This window comes from Homo sapiens, chromosome 5 (genome assembly GCF_000001405.40).
Source record: "Homo sapiens chromosome 5, GRCh38.p14 Primary Assembly".
In the NCBI taxonomy this organism is placed as follows: domain Eukaryota; kingdom Metazoa; phylum Chordata; class Mammalia; order Primates; family Hominidae; genus Homo; species Homo sapiens.
This window is the reverse complement of record NC_000005.10, coordinates 5,025,666-5,045,464: the sequence shown is the minus strand read 5'-3', so window position 1 is coordinate 5,045,464 and position 19,799 is coordinate 5,025,666. Positions and strand designations below refer to the sequence as shown.

General features: G+C 40.3%; 1 long non-coding RNA gene across 1 annotated transcript in view, besides 5 other annotated features; it reads right to left on the bottom strand.

The window, feature by feature from the left end:
- LINC01020 (long intergenic non-protein coding RNA 1020) overlaps positions 1–11,106 on the bottom strand; it is a 35,646-nt gene extending 24,540 nt beyond the window's left edge. Inside the window, exons 1-2 of the long non-coding RNA NR_026994.1 lie at positions 10,928–11,106; positions 6,667–6,795 (exon numbers count right to left, since the gene is read on the bottom strand). This is a non-coding gene — a long non-coding RNA (long intergenic non-protein coding RNA 1020). The remainder of the gene's footprint in view (positions 1–6,666; positions 6,796–10,927) is intronic.
- Positions 5,262–5,501: an enhancer, noted in NCBI's record as "active region_22321". NCBI's record gives its function as "activates an Ori minimal core promoter by ATAC-STARR-seq in GM12878 lymphoblastoid cells {active_cell/tissue: GM12878}" and the evidence as "EXISTENCE:reporter gene assay evidence [ECO:0000049][PMID:35858748]".
- Positions 5,522–5,621: an enhancer, noted in NCBI's record as "active region_22320". NCBI's record gives its function as "activates an Ori minimal core promoter by ATAC-STARR-seq in GM12878 lymphoblastoid cells {active_cell/tissue: GM12878}" and the evidence as "EXISTENCE:reporter gene assay evidence [ECO:0000049][PMID:35858748]".
- Positions 18,707–18,786: an enhancer, noted in NCBI's record as "active region_22319". NCBI's record gives its function as "activates an Ori minimal core promoter by ATAC-STARR-seq in GM12878 lymphoblastoid cells {active_cell/tissue: GM12878}" and the evidence as "EXISTENCE:reporter gene assay evidence [ECO:0000049][PMID:35858748]".
- Positions 18,797–18,976: an enhancer, noted in NCBI's record as "active region_22318". NCBI's record gives its function as "activates an Ori minimal core promoter by ATAC-STARR-seq in GM12878 lymphoblastoid cells {active_cell/tissue: GM12878}" and the evidence as "EXISTENCE:reporter gene assay evidence [ECO:0000049][PMID:35858748]".
- Positions 18,987–19,376: an enhancer, noted in NCBI's record as "active region_22317". NCBI's record gives its function as "activates an Ori minimal core promoter by ATAC-STARR-seq in GM12878 lymphoblastoid cells {active_cell/tissue: GM12878}" and the evidence as "EXISTENCE:reporter gene assay evidence [ECO:0000049][PMID:35858748]".

Here is a 19,799-nt window from a genome sequence, read left to right as displayed (position 1 = left end):
TGCTGTTTTGTAGATGAGGAAACCAAGGCTCAGAGGTAGAGGAGCACAGTCTCAAACCTGGTATCCTCAAGTGTCGGTTTTTGTGAAGAACAAATGAGATGAATTGAAATGAAATGAACGGATTATATGAGATGAGCAATTACTTATCAGTTTCCATCAAGGTAATTAGCCTCAATAGGCTTTTCCTATGAACTCTACTTTGGTTTGCAGGACTCTTCCAAATAACCTGAATACAGAGATTACTTGGTTCTGCGGTGCAGGATTCTGTTCATGTCCCTTGGGTTTCACAACTGCTTAGAGATTTTTGAATAACCTGATCTCTTTGAGCAGCTATACAGAAATTTTATCATGTGATTATTAAGCAGAATAAAACGACAGAAAGAGAGACAGAGCAAAGGACAGAAACATGTATATTTACCAACATACATGCACAGATATATATGTATATATGCATAAATACATATTTGTATATACATGTATGCAAGATGGATGGATGAAAAATTAATGCATGGATAATTTTATACATAATCCTCCACTCATACCTATAATCATACCATGAACCTCTGAAAGTTCATTTAAATTTTAACAATACCATTGCTGTCATGTGAGCAGTTTTCTTTATTCTATCAGGGACATAGGATACTGCAATGATTATGGAGCATTTATTTCTCTAAATTCTAAATCCAGTGATAAAATTAAACTCTGAATAGAGGATCACTGAGTTATGTTTAGAAAATTGTAGCAAAGCTATTAAAAGATAAGAAAAGTGTTCTAATGCAGAATTCAGGTCACTCATGCTTCTCACTGGTATGTAGCCAGATACACATGAGCCCAGAGAGCAGGACCAGATGCCCATGCAGTGACATGGAAAGCTGCCATTTGAAAATAAATATTTTAGCAGGTTTGGAAAGAGATATCAAGCATATTTTAAATTCCTAGGTAATCCTCATCAACTATTTGAACTATCTAAAGAAGACATACATATGGCCAACAGTCATATGAAAAAATGCTTAACGTCACTGACCATTAGACAAATGCAAATCAAAACCACAATGAGAACCATTTCACACCAGTCAGAATGGCTAGTGTTAAAAGTAAAAAAATAACAGATGCTGGTGACGTTGTAGAGAAAACAAAATGCATATACACTGTTGGTGGGAATGTAAATTAGTTCAACCATTGTGGAAGACAGTGTGGCGATTCCTCAAAGACCTAGAGACAGAAATACCATTTGATCCAGAAATCCCATTACCAGGTATATACCCAAAGGAATCCAAATTGTTCTATTATCAAAATACATGCATGCGTATGTTCATTGCAGTACTGTTCACAATAGAAAAGACATAGAATCAACTTAAATATCCATCAATGATAAATTGGATAAAGAAAGTGGTACATATACATGGAATACTATGGAATACATGGAATACTGTGAGGCCATAAAAGGGATGAGATCATGTCCTTTGCCAGAACTTGGATGGAGCTAGAGGCCATTATTCTTAGCAAACTAACGCAAGGACAGAAAAGCAAATACCAGATGTTCTTATTTATAAGTGGGAGCTAAATGATGAGAACACATGAACATGTAGAGGAGAACAACACACACTGGAGCCTATCAGAGGATGGAAAGTGGGAGGAGGGAGAGGATCCGGAAAAATAACTAGTGGGTATTAGGCTTAATACCTGGGTCATGTAATAATCTATAGAATAAACCCCCATGACACAGGTTTACCTACGTCACAAAACTGCACATGTACCCTGTACTTAAAAGTTAATAAATAAATAAATGAAATAGCAATTAAATATTTATCTTTGTATGTTTTTAAAATTATATATATTTAAGGTGTACATCATGTTGTTCTGATACAATCATCTTGATATATATAGGTATATATTTTGATATACATATCTTGATATATACACATCAAGATAAGTATACCCTCTCTCCCTGCTTCCCTTCCCTTCCATCCTACCCTTCCCTCCTTCCCTTTCCTTCCGTCCTTCCCCTCCCTTCCCTCCTTCCCTTCCCTTCCCCTCCCTTCCTTCCTTCCTTTCTTCCTTCCTTCCTTCCTCCCTCCCTGCCTTCTTTCTTCCTCCCTCCCTCCCTCTCTCTCTCTCTTTCTTTCTTTCTTTCTTTCTTTCTTTCTTTTTGTGGTAAGAGTATCTAAAATCTACTTTTTTGGCAAATTGCAAGTATGCAATACAATGTTTCTTTTAAAATTAATAAATAGACCCACAGATACCTGTTTATGTCTATATCTATGTCATCTATTTATATCCATCAAACATATATATGCATGTGAATAAGGTAGTTGTTACTCCAAATGTACAGAAGGATTGCAAATCCAAGCTGGGCTGATGAATTCAGAGCCATTGCCTTTAGCATAAATGCTATTTCTGGACCCTTCCTGGCATGATCCCAAGTAGTGGTAAGGGATGTCAGTTGTCCTTTACAACCACCACAGAGGAGAGAGGCAGAAGGCATCCTGCTGTTTTGCTGTCTTGTATTACAAGAATCCCAGGGTGATAGACAAATTTAGAATGCATTTATAAACTGAAGTTCATTGTAGAAAACCAGTTAGTCCTCATTGAACTTTCCCAGAGGGCATATTTCCATTGAAGCATGGGAATTTAGATTACATTCTTTTTCAGACTGGTCACTTTTCTCAAGGGTGTTTGAAGTTCAAGTTCAGAACCCTGAGTTATTCAATTTTCCATTCACAAGGTAGAATTCTATAATTCCTCAGACATCCATGGTTGAAGCGTCTGTTTGCCAGCTCAGAGAAGCTCTGAGTAAGAATCCCATGAAGACAATCCAGAGATTGGTCAGTTACTGGGTTTAAAGTACTCAGAACTTTTAAGCAAGGTGAGAAAATGAATTCCATATTTTCATGGTAAAAAAACAAGCCCATCTATGCAATCATTAATATCAAGTGCATGACCCTTACTCTCTGACACAGGTTCTATAACCTAGATAGCTGAGGTTTAAACCAAGAGAGAAAAGTTGCCTTTCTAGTCAGAAGCTGGGTCCAAGAAGCCCACCATTCTGTTGCCAACAAGAGTTTCCTGGGATTTCTATGAAATAACCTTTTTACTTGGCCTGACATTGACCTCTGAGGTTCATTTATGCTTTTTATTTTTTACTCAAACCAGTTTTATTTTTTTTGCCCTTCTTACTGGTAAAAATCTTGGAGTCATGAGCTCTGTAATCTGATTTTCTACTCTGAAGTAGCTTCTTTTTATTTATTCTCAGCTTGCCTTGCTCATGCTGAAAGTTGCTTTGTTTTAAAATTATGATCTCTCTATTTCTGTCCTCTTATTTGGTTTTCTCTTTTTATCATACTTTATCTATTTTCAAAAATAATTTGAGCAACAAGGGCCCAGGTTTTAGTATAGACACCAAATTCATGCCTCTTTTGGTCACGAGAGAGAGCTTTCCTTACCTCATCTTCATTATAATACAGTTCAGAGAAAAGTTCATATATTCTTGTTTTGAGACTATTAGCATACTTACCACTTCAATTTTTCTGCTAAAATAGGCCTGATTATGTGCTATCACAATTCTTTACAGTGTACATTGAAATGAAACATAAAACACATTATTGTGACCGTAACTTAACAAAAAATTTAGCCGAAGCTCATAGAACTATAAAAATTAGTATTTCGGTTCTCACAAATAAGATTTATCACATGCATTTCTTCAATAATTCAACAGGCAGCTTTGCTTGTCTTCTAGGGTTCCGACCTATGGCTTGTCGAAGCATCAGCACCCTGGAGCCTTGCTGAGCACCGGCCACTGCTGTCCACCTCCTCCCCATGTGACCTGGCTTCCCCCTCCCTGAGAAATAGGAACAATAAGAAAATAATGCCCCAAACTCCCTCCTCTTAGCTCTTCATCTGCCAGCACCTGTCTCCACTTTCTTCCCCTTTATACCTCTTCCCCGGATGCCCCGTCCGTGCTCCCACCAAAGCAAGCTTCTCCAGCGATGTGTGCCACCCTTCTGTTTTCCCCTGACTCCAGGGCACGGCCCCCAGAGCTTTCTCCACTTTCTCCCATATTGCCAAGTTTCTCCTCTTCACTGGATTATCACCATCTATACAAAAGCATGCTGTCATTTCTCCCAATTTTGATGACCCTTCTCCTAACCCCATTTCTTCTGCCTGCAATCACCTATTTCTTTGCTCCCATTTTCAATAAAGCTGTCAAGAGTTATCTATACTCACTAACTCCATTTCCTCTCCCTCTCTTGTCTTTTAACCTCACTCCACCCGCTTCTGTCCTCTATACTCCACAAACACATTGTGGAAGATCTTTGTGTCGCTAAACCCAATGGGACCAGTTACATTCCACCCAGCTGACCCCTTCCTCTCTCTTGATTCATGTCTTCTCTTAGATTCCACAATACCACACTCCTGTGGTTTTTCTCATAACAAATTTTCCTTTCTTTCCCCTCTGATTTTTTACTTTTTATGGCTCAGAGCTCAGTCTTCCTCTCCTCTCTGTCCACACACATTCCTCTTGTGACCTTATGCAGTCTCACAGCTTCAAATACCATTCACACGCTGATGCCCAAGTTCATAGTCCACACTGCGGCCTCCTGACATTTCCTCCTTTGTCCAACTGTCTTTTCGACATCTCCACTGGTGCTTTACCCACATTGGATTCTCCACACATTCAACACTGAGCCCATTCCCAGCCTTCCCTTCTCAGCTGTTAGCTGCCCTGCTCTACCAATGTTTTGCCTCCCCCAAACCTGGGGTCATTCTCATCTGTTATCACTCTTGAACATTCCATATCCTTAGAGTGAGGGAATTGTTTTGGCTTTATTTTAAACTTGTCCAGCAATCTTATTATTTCTTACCATCTCCAGGACTACCACTTTATTCTGAGGGACCACAATCTCATGCCCCTGTTTCCCAGTGGCCTTGGATTTGGTGTTTACTTTCCTGACCCTGACCCTACCCCACATCCTCTGGAGTCTGTCCTAGATATAGAAGCCAGAGTGGCTCATTGTAAATGTCTCTTCCTGGTATCCCTTACTGCTGAAAACCTTCCTTCTTCTTCTAAAATGGCTTGCTAGACTCCACATAATCTAGCCCCACATTATTTTCCTCACTACCAAATTTCTCCCAGTTCTCTCTACTCCAGATGTTCTGGCCACCGTCTTCCATTCCACTAGGCTTCCTCCAGCCTCGGGGCCTTTGTCCAGATGCTCTTTCTGCTGAGAAAGTCCTTGCCATAGATACAGAAATGACTAATTCTCCCACCACCTTTAAGCGTTTTCAAAATGTCCTTCTTAATAAAGCCTACCCTGGTGATATGGTTTGGCCAAAATCCCCCACCCAAATCCCATTCTGAATTGTGGTTCCCATAATCCCCACGTGTCATGGGAGGGACCCTATAGAAAGTAATTGAATCATGGGGGTGGTTTCCCCCATGCTGTTCTCATGACAGTGAGTGAGTTCTTACAAGATCTGATGGTTTTATAAGGGACATTCCCCTTGCTTCACTCATACTTCTTCTTGCTGGTGCCATGTGAAGAAGGATGTGTTTGCTTCCCCTTCTGCCATGATTGTAAGTTTCCTGCAGCCTCCCCAGCCATGCCAAACTGTGAGTCAATTAAACCTCTTTCCTTTATAAATTACCCGGTCTCAGGTATGTCTTTATTAGCAGTGTGAGAACCAGCTAATACACATAGTCAGTATATTTTAAAAATCATGACCAGCTGCCTTTGATACTATTTCTTTTCCTTGCCTTATTTTGTTTTTCTATTTGTCATTTAGTATATTTATTATTTGTGTTCTCACACTAGAATGTAAGCTCTAAGAGGACAGAGGATTCTTTTTTGTTGTTGTTCACTGATGGTTCCAGGGTGCCCAGAGGAGAACCTAGCACATATTAGGTACATGTTAGTTGAAACATGACCATAATATACTTAATTCAGCAACCTATCCTTTATGAAGTACTGCTGCTGGCCCCACAGAGGCACAGGAGGTGCATTGACTTACCTGCCCAAAGGCACATGGCACACAGCTTGGAAGCCACCCAGCTGGAATTTGAACCTAGGTAGTCAGACATCCGGAGGCCTGCTCTTAAGCACTTTGGCAAAATACCTGTGCTTCTCCAAGAACTGAGCATCCAGGGTGTCTTTTTCCTTTCTGTGTTGCTACAAAGAAATATCTGAGGCTGGGTGATTTATAAAGAAAAGAGGTTAATTTTGCTCATGGTTCTGTAGGCTGTACCTCTGCTCAGCTTCTGGTGGGGGCTCCTGTGCTGCACCAAACCTAGTGAGAAGGTCAAAGAAGAATCAGGCACTTGAAGGGGACCAAACCTGAGAGTGTCCTGGATTCATAACAACCCACTCTCAAGGGAACTCATCCATTCCTTTAGGAACCAATTCATCTCGTGAGATGGAAAACTCACTACCATATGAACAGCACCGAGTCATTCACAAGGGATCTTTTCCCGTGACTCAAACATCTTCCACTAATACCTTCCTCCTAATACCATCACGCTGGGGATTAAATTTCAACATGAGCTTAGGTAGGGACAAAAAAAAAACATAGCACAGGGGAACATGACAGATAAACCTGCCCTCAGTGATGGAGCAGTCCAGTGAGAGAAGTAGATATTAAACTCATAATCAAGCCCTATACTCAACTCACCTCAAGTCCTCTCTCAGGTGTAAACACTCTGTCTTCCAACTGGCCTACCCACCCCAGGAATATCTCCATATGGGTTTCATCCGTCACTTTGAAGCGAGTCAGTTCTGGTAGCAGCAGGTCACTGCAGGTCTTAAAAAGAAAAATCATAGCAACAACATCTGTAAAAAAATCATAATTAAAAAAACTCGAAAGTGAACTATGGTGCATTACTTTTCTGCTGCTATCATAACAAATTGCAAAAAATTCAGTGCCTTGAAACAACACAAATTTATTACCATACAGGTCTTTAAGTCTGATATGAGTCTCACTATGCAAAAATAAAAATGTCAGTGATGTTTTCTGGAGGATCCAGGACAGCATCAGCCACTTTGAGTTTTTCAGCTTCTAGCGGTGGTCCAGATTGCTTGGCTCACAGCCCCTTCCTCTATCGTCTTACTCAGCTATGTAGCATTTCCCTGGCCCTGCTTCCATTGACCATCTTTTTCTCTGATCCTATTTGAGAAAAGTTCTCCACTCTTAATGATCCAAATGATTAGATTAAGGCTCAACTGAATATTCCAGGATGATCTTCCCATCTCAAAGTCCTTAACTTTAGTCACATCTGCAAAGTCTTTTTTGTCATATAAGGTAATGTAATCACAAGTTCTGGAAATTAGAATGTGCTCACTACTAGGGACCATTATTCTGCCTATGTTGTAGGCAGAATATATAGCCAATATATATAATAGCTATATATTAAAAAGTTGGTTTCTGCCAAAAAACTGACCTTGTCCCTAAGGCTTCAGAGCAAAGGATTTTCTGCATAGTGAACAGTTTAGCTGATGAATTGAGATTGGAAAGTTGATCAGATGTGAAGGTTCATGAATGAAAGCTTCAGTCTGACTCTTTTAGGCTGACAACCTCCTACCTGCTCAGAGAAACACTGAACCCACAGGTTTGTTTTGACTCAAATGTTACAAACACTAAGAAACAGAGAAGCAGACATGGAAGCTGTTTGCAGACTTTTGTTTTTTCTATTTTTTAGTGTTTTTGTTTTCACTTTTGTTTTCCCCGTTTATTGAAGCCATTGTTTAATTTCTACCCATTCCCTATCTTTTTAGCTTTCTCTCAAAACCAAGAGGGAAAAAGAAAACCTATACTACACATACTCCCTTCAAAGGTCCAAGAATTCTAAAAGATTTTTTCCCAAACCAACAGTGTACTGTAAGACCAACTTTTACAGGCTTTGGATAGTGATAGGAATAGAGAAGAGTTTCTTAGGGGTTCAAAGGAATGAAACTAAAAGCTAACATGGGGATCCCTTGGAAAATGGGTAATTTTTTTGATTTTTGAAGAAATACTTGGAGTGAAAATTGGAAAAAGAAGGCGGCAGCGGGAAAAGGTATGATACAGACAACAGGGGTGAGGATGGAGACCAGGGTGAAAGCTCTTGATTCTGAAAAGCTCAGTTTTCATGGATTTATGACATAATCCATCAAGATTCAGTTTTAGTTTCTGAGCAGAGTTTAATAAAAGTGAATGCGGTTACATTTACATTGGCTTATATTTTTATTTTGTTCTTCGTATTTTGCCTTTCCAAATCTAATGTTTTATATAAAAGAATTTTCCCACTTTTTACTGTGATTAATTCTATATTTCGTTTTCTGAGCTAGAAATTCGTTTCAGAGATCAAATTGAGTTAGGATGCATCACCTCATACTGCCCTGTCATTCCATGCGCATCTATCTATCAGCTAACTGCATTTTGTTGGTCTTAGCTAGGGTGTAAATTATTTTATTTTATTTTATTTTATTTTATTTTATTTTATTTTATTTTATTTTATTTTATTTTATTTTGAGACGGAGTCTCGCTTTGTCGCCCAGGCTGGATAGCAGTGGCGCGATCTCGGCTCACTGCAAGCTCTGCCTCCCGGGTTCAAGCCATTCTCCTGCCTCAGCCTCCTGAGTAGCTGGGACTACAGGCACCCAACACCACGCCCGGCTAATTTCTTGTATTTTTAGTAGAGATGGGGTTTCACCATGTCACCCAGGGTGGTCTCGATCTCCTGACCTCGTGATCCACCCGCCTCGGCCTCCGAAAGTGCTGGGATTACAGGCGTGAGCCACCGCGCCCGGCCGGCTAGGGCATAAATTATATGGGAAGAGTGAGGTTAAAAAAAAAATGCTGATTGTGGCCAAATTGTAATCTTTTTTTTTTTTTTTTTTGAGACGGAATCTTGCTCTGTCTTCCAGGCTGGAGTGCAGTGGTGCAATCTTGGCTCACTGCAACCTCTGCCTCCCGGGCTCAAGTGATTCTCCTGCCTCAGCCTCCCAAGTAGCTGGGACTCCAGGCACCTGCTACCATGCCCGGCTAATTTTTTGTATTTTCAGTAGATACAAGGTTTCACCGTGTTAGCCAGGATGGTCTCGATTTCCTGACCTCGTGATCTACCCGCCTTGGCCTCCCAAAGTGCTGGGATTACAGGCATGAGCCACTTCGTCTGGCCTGTAATCATTTTTTATAAGGTGACGAGAAATTAGGACTTCATCCTGAGGGAGAGGTAGCAAAGGTTTATTAAGCAGGAGCCTGACATAAAGTGAGTTGCATTTTTGGAAGATAATTCTGTGGGAAGAGAGCAGGATTGGGTGGCAGGTCATCCAACGGGTGAAGGCAAAGTGACTGCCTCACAGGACATGTGACAGCCCCGTGGTGGTGGAAGAGAGGGAGGTGAGCTAAATATTTTTGAAGGTAGACTCAAAAGGATTTTATGATCTAGAAAGGAAGTCATAATAAAGAATCACAATGTATTTTTTTCTATTATAGATCCCTTTAAAATTAAACTTAGCATCTACTCATAGATATAATTAAGTAGCCAAAATATTAGTGTTCTTGATTCACTAGAACTAATTTCATATCTTGACAAATAAGGAAATATGAGGGTTTTATTTTTTATTATTTTACTTGTATGAATTTATTGACATTCGATCAGAATGATAAAAATAGGAGAAGCTGAAAATTCCCATAAACTCTTGGGGCTACAAGACAGCACTGTTCACTCCAATCCTTGCTGCTGTACAAAGAGAGCAGACACTGTTCCAGTATCTCACTCCATCACCAGCACCAGCCCAACCTCCACACCTGCCATCCCTCCAGTGGTGCAGGTGGAGGGCTGGGTGATGCTGTGTAAGCAAAAAGAAACTAGGTTCCTTTATAAACTCTTATTCTTTATAATCTATAAATACAGAATCTTGTTAATTTGACTCCTATTGACTTGTGATTATATAAGATGACTTCACAATCTACATTTTACTTTTTTAGTAAATATCAAGTGTGTTTTATATTTACAATAAAGCTGGAATTAAGAAACTTGATCTATAATTATTTTCAGATTAACTGATTAAATAGCCTGGCAATCTGTATGCATCAGCTAAAAACTACCATGATAAATTTATTAAAGTAGTTAACTTAAAAAATGTAAAAAAAGTATTTCATATATTTATTATGTTAAAATATAATAGAGCATGTATTAAATAATTTTATACATGTAAAAATTTAACCTTTTGAAATCCATATGGCAACATATGGGGAAAGCTCTAAAGACAGTCAAAACTTGAATCATTCAAAACATCTCTTAGGCATTTATAAAAAGGATCTGTTCTCCCAGATGTGATGAACCAAGCTTCCCTGGTGGCATTACCAATGAGAGCAAACAATTTAAAAAATTCTAAACATCTAACGTCAGAGGAAAGAAAGATAAAGAAGTTCATGAATTTATGTATAATATGTATATAACACCTCTTTCCATGAAATGTTTGACACTGCTTATAACAAATATCCATCAAGATAGGAAAATATGTTTACAATTACAACATTTTTACCAAAAAACGGTATACATCATGCATCGACCATAAAAGTTAGCATTATTTCTGTGAATGAGTTGTGAACAGGTATTTATTTATTTATTTATTTATTTATTTACTTACTGAGACAGCGTCTCCTTGTGTCACCCAGGCTGGAGTGCAGTGGTGCAATCTCAGCTCACTGCAACCTCCACTTTCCAGGCTCAAGCAATCCTCCCACATCAGCCCCTAGTAGCTGGGACCACAGGCGTGCACCACCACACCAGGCTAATTTTTATATTGTTTGTAGAGATAGCGTTTTGTCATGTTGCTCACGGTGGTCTCAAACTCTGAGTTCAAGCCGTCCACCCACCTTGGCCTCCAGAGTGCTGGGATTACAAGTGTGAGCCACTGTGCCCAGCCTGGAGACAGTGTGAACATACCATAAGGATCGGGTTCCTAATGGCCAATGAGCAGAGAATGAAAATAAGTCTGAGTTGTGGCTCAAGGCTGCTCCAACTTGGTCACAATTGGAGTCCTCCTGTCCTGTAAGGGGCAGCAATTCTTTTTGATAAGGAAAAGGCACATTCTGGTGGTGAGCTTTCCTTTCTGTTTTGGGGCCTCAGCACAGTATTCTGTTGCTCTGGGGGTTTACAGAATGTTTGGTGCATAATAAGGCATTTCATGTGACATCACGTCATACCCAGGGACCCACTTTATAAAAACGGAGACGTGACGGTGGGGACGTGACCACAGCACTAATCTCACCACACATCACACCATCAGAAGCGTCCAGTCCAGAATAATGGGACAGCCTACGAAGATACATCTGCTGGGCCAGCTCAGAGGTGATGTCCTGTGAGGATGAGGGGTCATTTTTTAAAATTCAGTGTAGGTGCTAAGTCAATGACCATTTCATGTGCTACATTTCCAACATATAAAATCATTAGGTTTCAGCAGAAGTGGCCTCTTCAGTCATCATATCCACTTGTGAATGTGTGATTTTCATCTAGACAGTTGAGATTTCTGTGGATTTTAGAAGTCCTGATTTCCAAAGGATACACTCAGAATTCCACTGAATGCAAAACTCCAGTCACCACGTGGGCAGTTCAGACTGCTTGTGCCAAAGGAAGGGAACCCTCTTACAGAATGACTGATTCCCAGTATGGCATTTCTTGTGACACCACATCAGACTAAATGGCCCACTTGATAGAAAGGGAGGTGCTGCAGTGCACATGGCATGCCAGGCCACCTAGAAGAGGTCCTACTGCTGCAGCAAGGTAGCTGCCCCTGCCTTCAGTAGGGTGTGCCGTCACCTCTCCATGGAGCCGGGGAGAAATAAGCTTGACACATGGTATCCACGTGGGTATTTCTTAGGACTTTCTTCTCCAGTTTTAGCAGTGAATGGAACCATTCCCTGATAAGAGCATGATAAACACAGACTCAGACCTCCAGGGACAGGAGCTGGTTCATGGCCCAGGCAAACCAGAAGAGATGCTGTCCAAGTGTGATGACAGCCTTGTATGGAAAGAAGGGAAAGATATGAGCATCATTTGAAGATTTGAGGCTGGCTGTAGTGGCAGAGACTGTAGTTCATTCCAGGAAATTTCCTCTGCTAAGTTTTTCCAGGAGGACATGCTAGCAGCCTCCTGGGTGAGCTGCTCCCAGGTCTCACATGTAGTGACCCTATCAGAGAGGCCACAACAGTGGGCTTTCAAGGGTGTTGGGCTCCACCTCCCAGATCCCCTTCCAGAACAGAAGGACTCCATTTCCCTGGCTGCCGAAAACATTTTGGGCTGGTAGATCTTCAGGAATTGCCTTGGCTGAGAGTCACCTTGCCCAAGGTCCTGCTGCCTTCTGGGCAGCCTTGACAATGACTGGTTAATGCAGTAGTATATAGGCTCTGTCTCCTCACACCAACTCTAGAACGCTCTTAGGGGGCATTTTAGATATAAGGTCTGCTCCCTGTAGGGTTAGCAGAGATCTCACTGGGGCTGCACCTCAACCCGTTTCTTCCTCTGCCCGATTCTCCTCTCTTCCCCTCCATTCATAGGTATTGGTCCTGTGATCACTCCCTAAAAAACTTCCAGGATGTTCATCTGTATTTCAGAGGCTGCTTCCCAGTGAATCCAACCTGTACATTAGGATTTTTAAAAACATCTGACACAAATGAAAATGTGAAATCTTTATTTTTTTAATCAAATGAATCTATGGCTATGACATAACCTTTTCAAAATGTATAAAAGAATATGTTTTCTAAAACATAATTATAAAATTCATCTCTCTTTTAGAGAGAAAAAAAAGAACTGAGCCTAGCCAGGCAGATTAGAATCTAGGGGATGGAAAGAAAATAAGTCAAACTCTCCATCTCCTCCCCACACGCCCACACACAATTTGCAGAGGGATTAGCTATTTAAATGTTAAATCCAGAAAAAGAACAAAAAGTAGTTTATTTATTAGAACTTGGAGTTGCAAAAGGCCAAGTTAAGTATGCAACAAAAACCTAAACCAGAAACTATAGAATAAAAGATTTAGAGTCGTGTCTACAGAAATTTGAAATCATTATATGATGATATTATCCAAAATCAAATAAAAAACAATAAATGTGACTCATAAATGTTAATATCATTAATACACAAAGATGTCCCGCAAATAATTAAGAAAGATAGAATCTGAAAAAATAATTAAGAATGAGAATAAGCAATTCGGAATTTTAAAAATAACCAGTACAAATACCATCAACCCTGAAATTGACTAATCTCAGTGATGATCAGTGGGGTATACATTTCAAATATGAATGTGAAATTATTGCCACCTGTCAAGTTGGAAAAGTTTAAAACAATGAAAATGTTTATGATTTCCCAGTTTATGGTTAAACACCTGTATTAGTCCATTTTTACACTGCTATAAAGAACTTCCCAAGACTGGGTAATTTATAAAGGAAAGAGGTTTAATTGACTCACAGATCTGCGTGGCTGGGGAGGCCTCAGGAAAGCTACAATCATGGTGGAAGGGGAAGCAGGCACACCTTACATGGTGGCAGGTGTGTGTGAGAGAGATCGTGTCAGAACACAGGAAAAGCTACCATTTATAAAACCATCAGATCTTGTGAGAACTCATACACTATCGCGAGAACAGCATGGGGGAAAATGCCCCCATTATAAAATCACCTCCCACAAGGTCCCTCCCTTGACACGTGGGAATTATAGGAATTACAATTCAGGATGAGAAATGGGTGGGAACCCAGAGCCAAACACAACTGGAACGTATAAACACAACTGGAATATGAAGGTGTAGATTTTTGAGAGGGGTAGTAGAAACAAAAGCAGTAGAAAGAAAACATTTTTCAGCCTTGTGTCTCAAGTATGTTTGACATGGCCTTATTTTTAATGCTGAAGCCTAAAAACAAATGAACTATGCAATAAAAAAGAATTGGAGATGTAAATCAGTCCGTCTCTATGGCTACAGAGTCATTTGAAATAATTTTGTGGCAAAATATTCAATTGCCTGAAAAAAATTTTCCATTATTTAAAATTTGTTTTTAAAATAGCATGATATCATTTTGAAGAATCAGATAACTTACCAAATATTAAAAGTAATCATTGAATAGTATCATTATGGGGCCATTGTTATTTTTTCCCTTATGCTTTTCTGCATTTATCAAATGTTTAATATTAAATGTAATGATTAGTTACAATAATAATCCCTAGGTATAATAGTTATAGACATAATTAAAAGCAAATGTAGTAAGTAAAAAGAAGGTTAAGGCAATGTCACTCATTTCTGCAAATTTATTTATTTATATTTTTTATTTTACTTTAAATTCTGGGACACAAGTGCAGAACATGCAAATTTATTACATAAGTATACATGTGCAATGGTGGTTTGCTGCACCTATTGACCTGTCTTCTAAGTTTCCTCCCCTCACTCCTCACCCCCCAAACAGGACCTGGTATATGTTGTCCCCCTCTCAGTGTCCTTGTGTTCTCATTGTTAAACTCCCACTTATGAGTGAGAACATGCAGTGTTTGGTTTTCTGTTCCTGTGTTAGTTTGCTGAGGATGATGTCTTCCAGCTTCATCCATGTCCCTGCAAAGGACATAATCTCATCCCTTTTTATGGCTGCATAGTAGTCCATGCTGTATATGTACCACATTTGCTTTATCCAGTCTGTCATTAATGGGCATTTGGGTTGGATCTATGACTTTGCTATTGTAAATAGTGCTGCAATAAACATACATGAGCAGGTGTCTTTATAGTAGAATGATTTATATTCCTTTGGGTATATACCCAGTAATGGGATTGCTGGGTCAAATGGTATTTCTGGTTCTAGATTCTTGAGGAATCGCCATACCATCTTCCACAATGGTTGAGCTAATTTATTTTGACAACAACAGTGTGAAACCGTTCCTATTTCTCCATAGCCTTGCCAGCATCTATTTTTCGTGTTGTTTTAATAATAGCCATTCTGACTGGTGTGAGATGGTATCTCATTGTGGTTTTTATTTGCATTTCTCTGATGATTAGTGATGTTGTGCTTTTTACATATGTTTGTTGACTGTGTAAATGTCTTCTTTTGAGAAGTGTCTGTTGATATTCTTTGCCCACTTTTTGATGGGGTTGTTTTTATTCTTGTAAATTTGTTTAAATTCCTTGTAATTCTGGATATTAGACGTTTGTCAGATGGGTAAATTGTAAATATTTTCTCCTATTCTGCAGGTTGCCTGTTCACTCTGATGCTAGTTTCTTTTGCTGTGGAGAAGCTTTTCAATTTAATTATGTCTCATTTGTCAATTTTGGCTTTTGTTGCAATTGCTTTTGTCATTTTTCATCATGAAATGTTTCCCCATGCCTATGTCCTGAATGGTATTGCCTAACTTTTCTTCTAGGGTTTTTATGGTTTTGGGTTTTAAATTTAAGTCTTTAACCCATCTTGAGTTATTTTTTGTGTAAGGTGTAAGGAAGGGGTCCACTTTCAGTTTTCTGCATATGGCTAGCCTGTTTCCCCAGCACCACTTACTGGATAGGAGACCTTTCCCCCATTGGTTGTTTTTGTCAAGTTTGTCGAAGATCCGATTGTTGGAGAGGTGTGGTGTTGTTTCTGAGCTCTCTGGTCTGTTCAATTGGTCTATATGCCTGTTTTGGTACCAGTACCATGCTGATATGGTTATTGTAACCTTGTAGTATAGTTTGAAGTCAGGTAATTTGATGCCTCCAGCTTTGTTCTTTTTGCTTAGGATTGTCTTAGCTATATGGGGACTTCTTTGATTCCATATGAAATTTATAGGTTTTTTTTTTCTAATTCTGTGAAGAATGTCATTGGTAGTTTGATGGGTATAGCATTGAATCTATAAATTACTTTGGGCAGTATGACCATTTTCACAATATTGATTTTTCCTATTGATGAAGATGGAATGTTTTTCCATTTGTTTTCCACTTATTTCCTTGAAGAGTGATTTGTAGTTCTCCTTGAGGAGGTCTACACATCCCTTGCTAGCTGTATTCCTAGGAATTTTATTCTTTTTGTAGCAATTGTGAATGGGAGTTCATTCATGATTTGGTTCTCTGATTGTCTATTGTTGGTGTAAAGGAATGCTTGCGATTTTTGCACATTGATTTTGTATTCTGAGACTTTGTTAAAGTTGCTTATCAGTTTAAGGGATTTTTGGGCTGGGATAATGGGGTTTACTAAATATAGAATCATGTCATCTGCAAACAGAGACAATTTGACTTCCTCTCTTTCTATCTGAATACGCTTTATTTCTTTCTCTTGCCTGATTGCCCTGGCTAGAACTTCCAAAACTATGTTGAATAGGAGTGGTGAGAGAGGTCATCCTTGTCTTGGGCCAGTTTTCAAAGGGAATGCTTCCAGCTTTTGCCCATTCAATATGATATTGGCTGTGGGTTTGTCATAAATATCTTTTATTATTTTGAGATATGTTCCATCAATACTTAGTTTATTGAGAGTTTTTAACGTGATGGGATGTTTAATTTTATCAAAGGCCTTTTCTGTATCTATTGAAATAATTATGCGGTTTTTATCTTTGGTTCTGTTCATGTTCTGGATTACGTTTATTGATTTGCATATGTTGAACCAGCCTTGCATCCCAGGGGTGAAGCTTACTTGTTCGTGGCGGATAAATTTTTTTGATGTGCTGCTGGATTCAGTTTGCCAGTATTTTATTGAGAATTTTCACATTGATGTTCATCAGGTATATTGGCCTGAAGTTTTCTTTATTCATTTTGTCTCTTCCTGGTTTTGGTATCAGGATGATGCTGGCTTCATTAAATGAGTTAGGGAGGAGTCCCTCCTTTTCAATTATTTGGAATAATTTCAGAAGGAAGGGTACCAGCTCCTCTCTGTGCCTCTGGTAGAATTTGGATATAAATCTGTCTGGTCCTGGGCTTTTTTTTTTGGTTCTAGGTTCTTAATTACTGCCTCAGTTACAGAACCTGTTATTCGTCTATTCAGGGATTCAACTTCTTCCTGATTTAGTCTTGGGCAGGTGTATGTGTCCAGGAATTTATCGATTTCTTATAGATTTTCTAGTTTATTATGTAGAGGTGTTTATAGTATTCTCTGATGGTAGTTTGTATTTCTGTGGGATCATTGGTGATATACCCTTGATCATTTTTTATTGTGTCTATTTGATTCTTCTCTCTTTTCCTCTTTATTAATCTAACTAGCGATCTATCTAATGTTTTTTTTTTTTTTTCCCAGAAAACCAGCTCCTGTATTCATTGATTTTTTGGAGGGTTTTTTGTGTCTCTATCTCCTTCCATTCTGCTCTAATTTTAGATATTTCTTGTTTTCTGCTAGCTTTTGAATTAGTTTGCTCTTGCCTCTCTAGCTGTCTAATTGTGATGTTAGGGTGTTGATTTGAAATCCTTTTTCTTTAAAAATGTTGAATATTGGCCCCTAATCCCTTCTGGCTTGTAGAGTTTCTGCTGAGAATTCTGCTGTTAGTCTGATGGGCTTCCTTTTTTAGGTGACCTGGCCTTTCTCTCTGGCTGCCCTTAACATTTTTTCCTTCATTTCGACTTTAGAGAATCTGATGATTATGCATCTTGGGGTTGATCTTGTGGTGGAGTATCTTAGTAGTGTTCTCTGTATTTTCTGAATTTGCATGTTGGCTTGTCTTACTAGGTTGGGGAAGTTCTCCTGGATAATATCCTAAAGTGTGTTTTCCAGCTTGTTTCCATTCCCCTTGTCTCCTTCAGGTACTCCAAACAATCATAGGTTTGATCTTTTTATGAAGTCTTATATTTCTTGGAGGCTTTGCTCATTCCTTTTCATTCTTTTTTCTCTAATCTTGTCTGCATGCCTTATTTCAGCAAGGTGGTCTTCAAACTCTGATATCCTTTCTTCTGCTTGGTTGATTCGGCTATTGTTACTTGTGTATGCTTCACAAAGTTCTTGCGCTGTGTTTTTCAGCTCCATCAGGTCATTTATGTTCCTCTCTAAACTGGTTATTCTAGTTAGCAGCTCCTCTAATCTTTTATCAAGGTTCTTAGCTTCTTTGCATTGGGTTAGAACATGCTCCTTTAGCTCACCATATTTTTTTGTTACCCATCTTCTGAAGCCTACTCCTGTCAATTCATCCATCTCATCCTCCATCCAGTTCTGTGCTCTTGCTGGAGAGACCCTGTGTTCATTTGGAGAAGAGGCACTCCCGCCTTTTGGGTTCTCAGCATTTTTTCATTGATTCTTTCTCATCTTCATGAGTTTGTCTAGTTTTGATTTTTGAGGTTGCTGACCCTTGGATGGAGTTTTTGTGGGGGCTTTTTTTTTTGTTAGTGGTGATGCTGCTGCTGTTGTTGCTTTCTATTTGTTTGTTTTTCTTCCAATGGTCAAGTCCCTCTTCTGCAGGGCTGCTGCAGTTTGCTGGGGGTTCACTTCAGGCCCTACTCATCTGGCTTACTCCAACACTGGAGAACAGCAAAGATAGGTGCCTACTCCTTCTTCTGGGATCTTTGACCTCAAGGGGCACCAACCTAATACCAGTAGGATCGATCCTGTATAGGGTGTCTGACAACACCTGTTGGAGAGTCTCATCCAGTTGGGTGGGATGGGGAACAGGACCCATTTAATGAAGCTCTTTGACTGTCCCTTGGTGGAGGGTGTGTACCTCGCTGGGGGAAACCCACTCATCTGGGCTGTCTGGATTCCTCAGAACTACCAGGAGGAAAGCCTAAGTCTGCTGGTCCACAGAGACTGTGGCCACCCATCCCCCAGAGGCTCAGGCCCAGAGAGATCCAGGTTCTGTTCCTGAGCCTCTGGCTGGAGTTATTGGAGTTTCTGCAGGGAAGCCCTGCCCAGTGAGGAAGGATGAGTCAGGGTCAGGCCTGAAGAGGCACTCCACTGCTGACTGCCACAGCCGGCGTGTTGGGCTGTTGGGGACTCATCTTGGGACCAAGCAGTCCAGCCTCCCTGGTGCCAGCAGGGGAAAAGCGCAGCCTGGAGCTATAGAGATAGATGCTGCCCTTCCTCCTCCCAGGGAGCTTAGCTTGTTAGGCGGTTGTGGGTCCCAGTGCTGGCTGCTGCCCCTCACCCAAGGAGCTCAAATGGTGTAGACAGCAGGCAACTGAAGCTCTGGTGCTGGTCGCCCCTCCCCCCGGGAGATCAGTCGGCTTCAGCAGATTCCAGCTGAGAGGCTGTTGAGAATCTGTGCAGCTCTGGGGTTGGGGGATGCCAGGCCTTGGTGGCCTGGGTTTGTGAGTAAGATCTTCTGATCCATGGGTTGCACAGTTCCGTGGAAAAAGCACGTTTTCCCCGTGAAGGACTAAGTGGCTAAGTTGGCTGGACTTCCTGAGTCAACAGGGACTTCCCTAAGGGGACTTTCCCCTAAGCCAAAATAAGTCATAGCTGCAAGCTAAGGGACTGAAACTTCAACCAATCATATAGGGAGTTTAAGCTCTAGCTGCAGCCTGACGTTTTTAACCAATCAGGCCCGCCAACCCACAAGCAGATAGAAAATAAGCTAATTCTATAGGACAGAAAAAGGAAAAGGGGAGGGGTCATGAGGGGATATAAGCATAAGACACCCAAGCCAGAAACTGCTACCCTTCCCGGTTCCCTTCCACCAAGTGGAAGCTTTACTTTCGCTTTTGCTTTACTTTTGCTTTCGCTTTAGTAAATCTTGCTGCCACACACTCTTTGGGTCCGCGCGTTTCTCCAATCGAGCTGTAACACTCACCGCTGTGGTCCAAGGCTTCATTCCTAGAAGCCCGTGAGACCATGAGCCGACTGAGAAAAACCTTCGATTGGAAGAAGACTTCTCGTCTCACCCGGCTGGGTAGCACATTCACTCACCA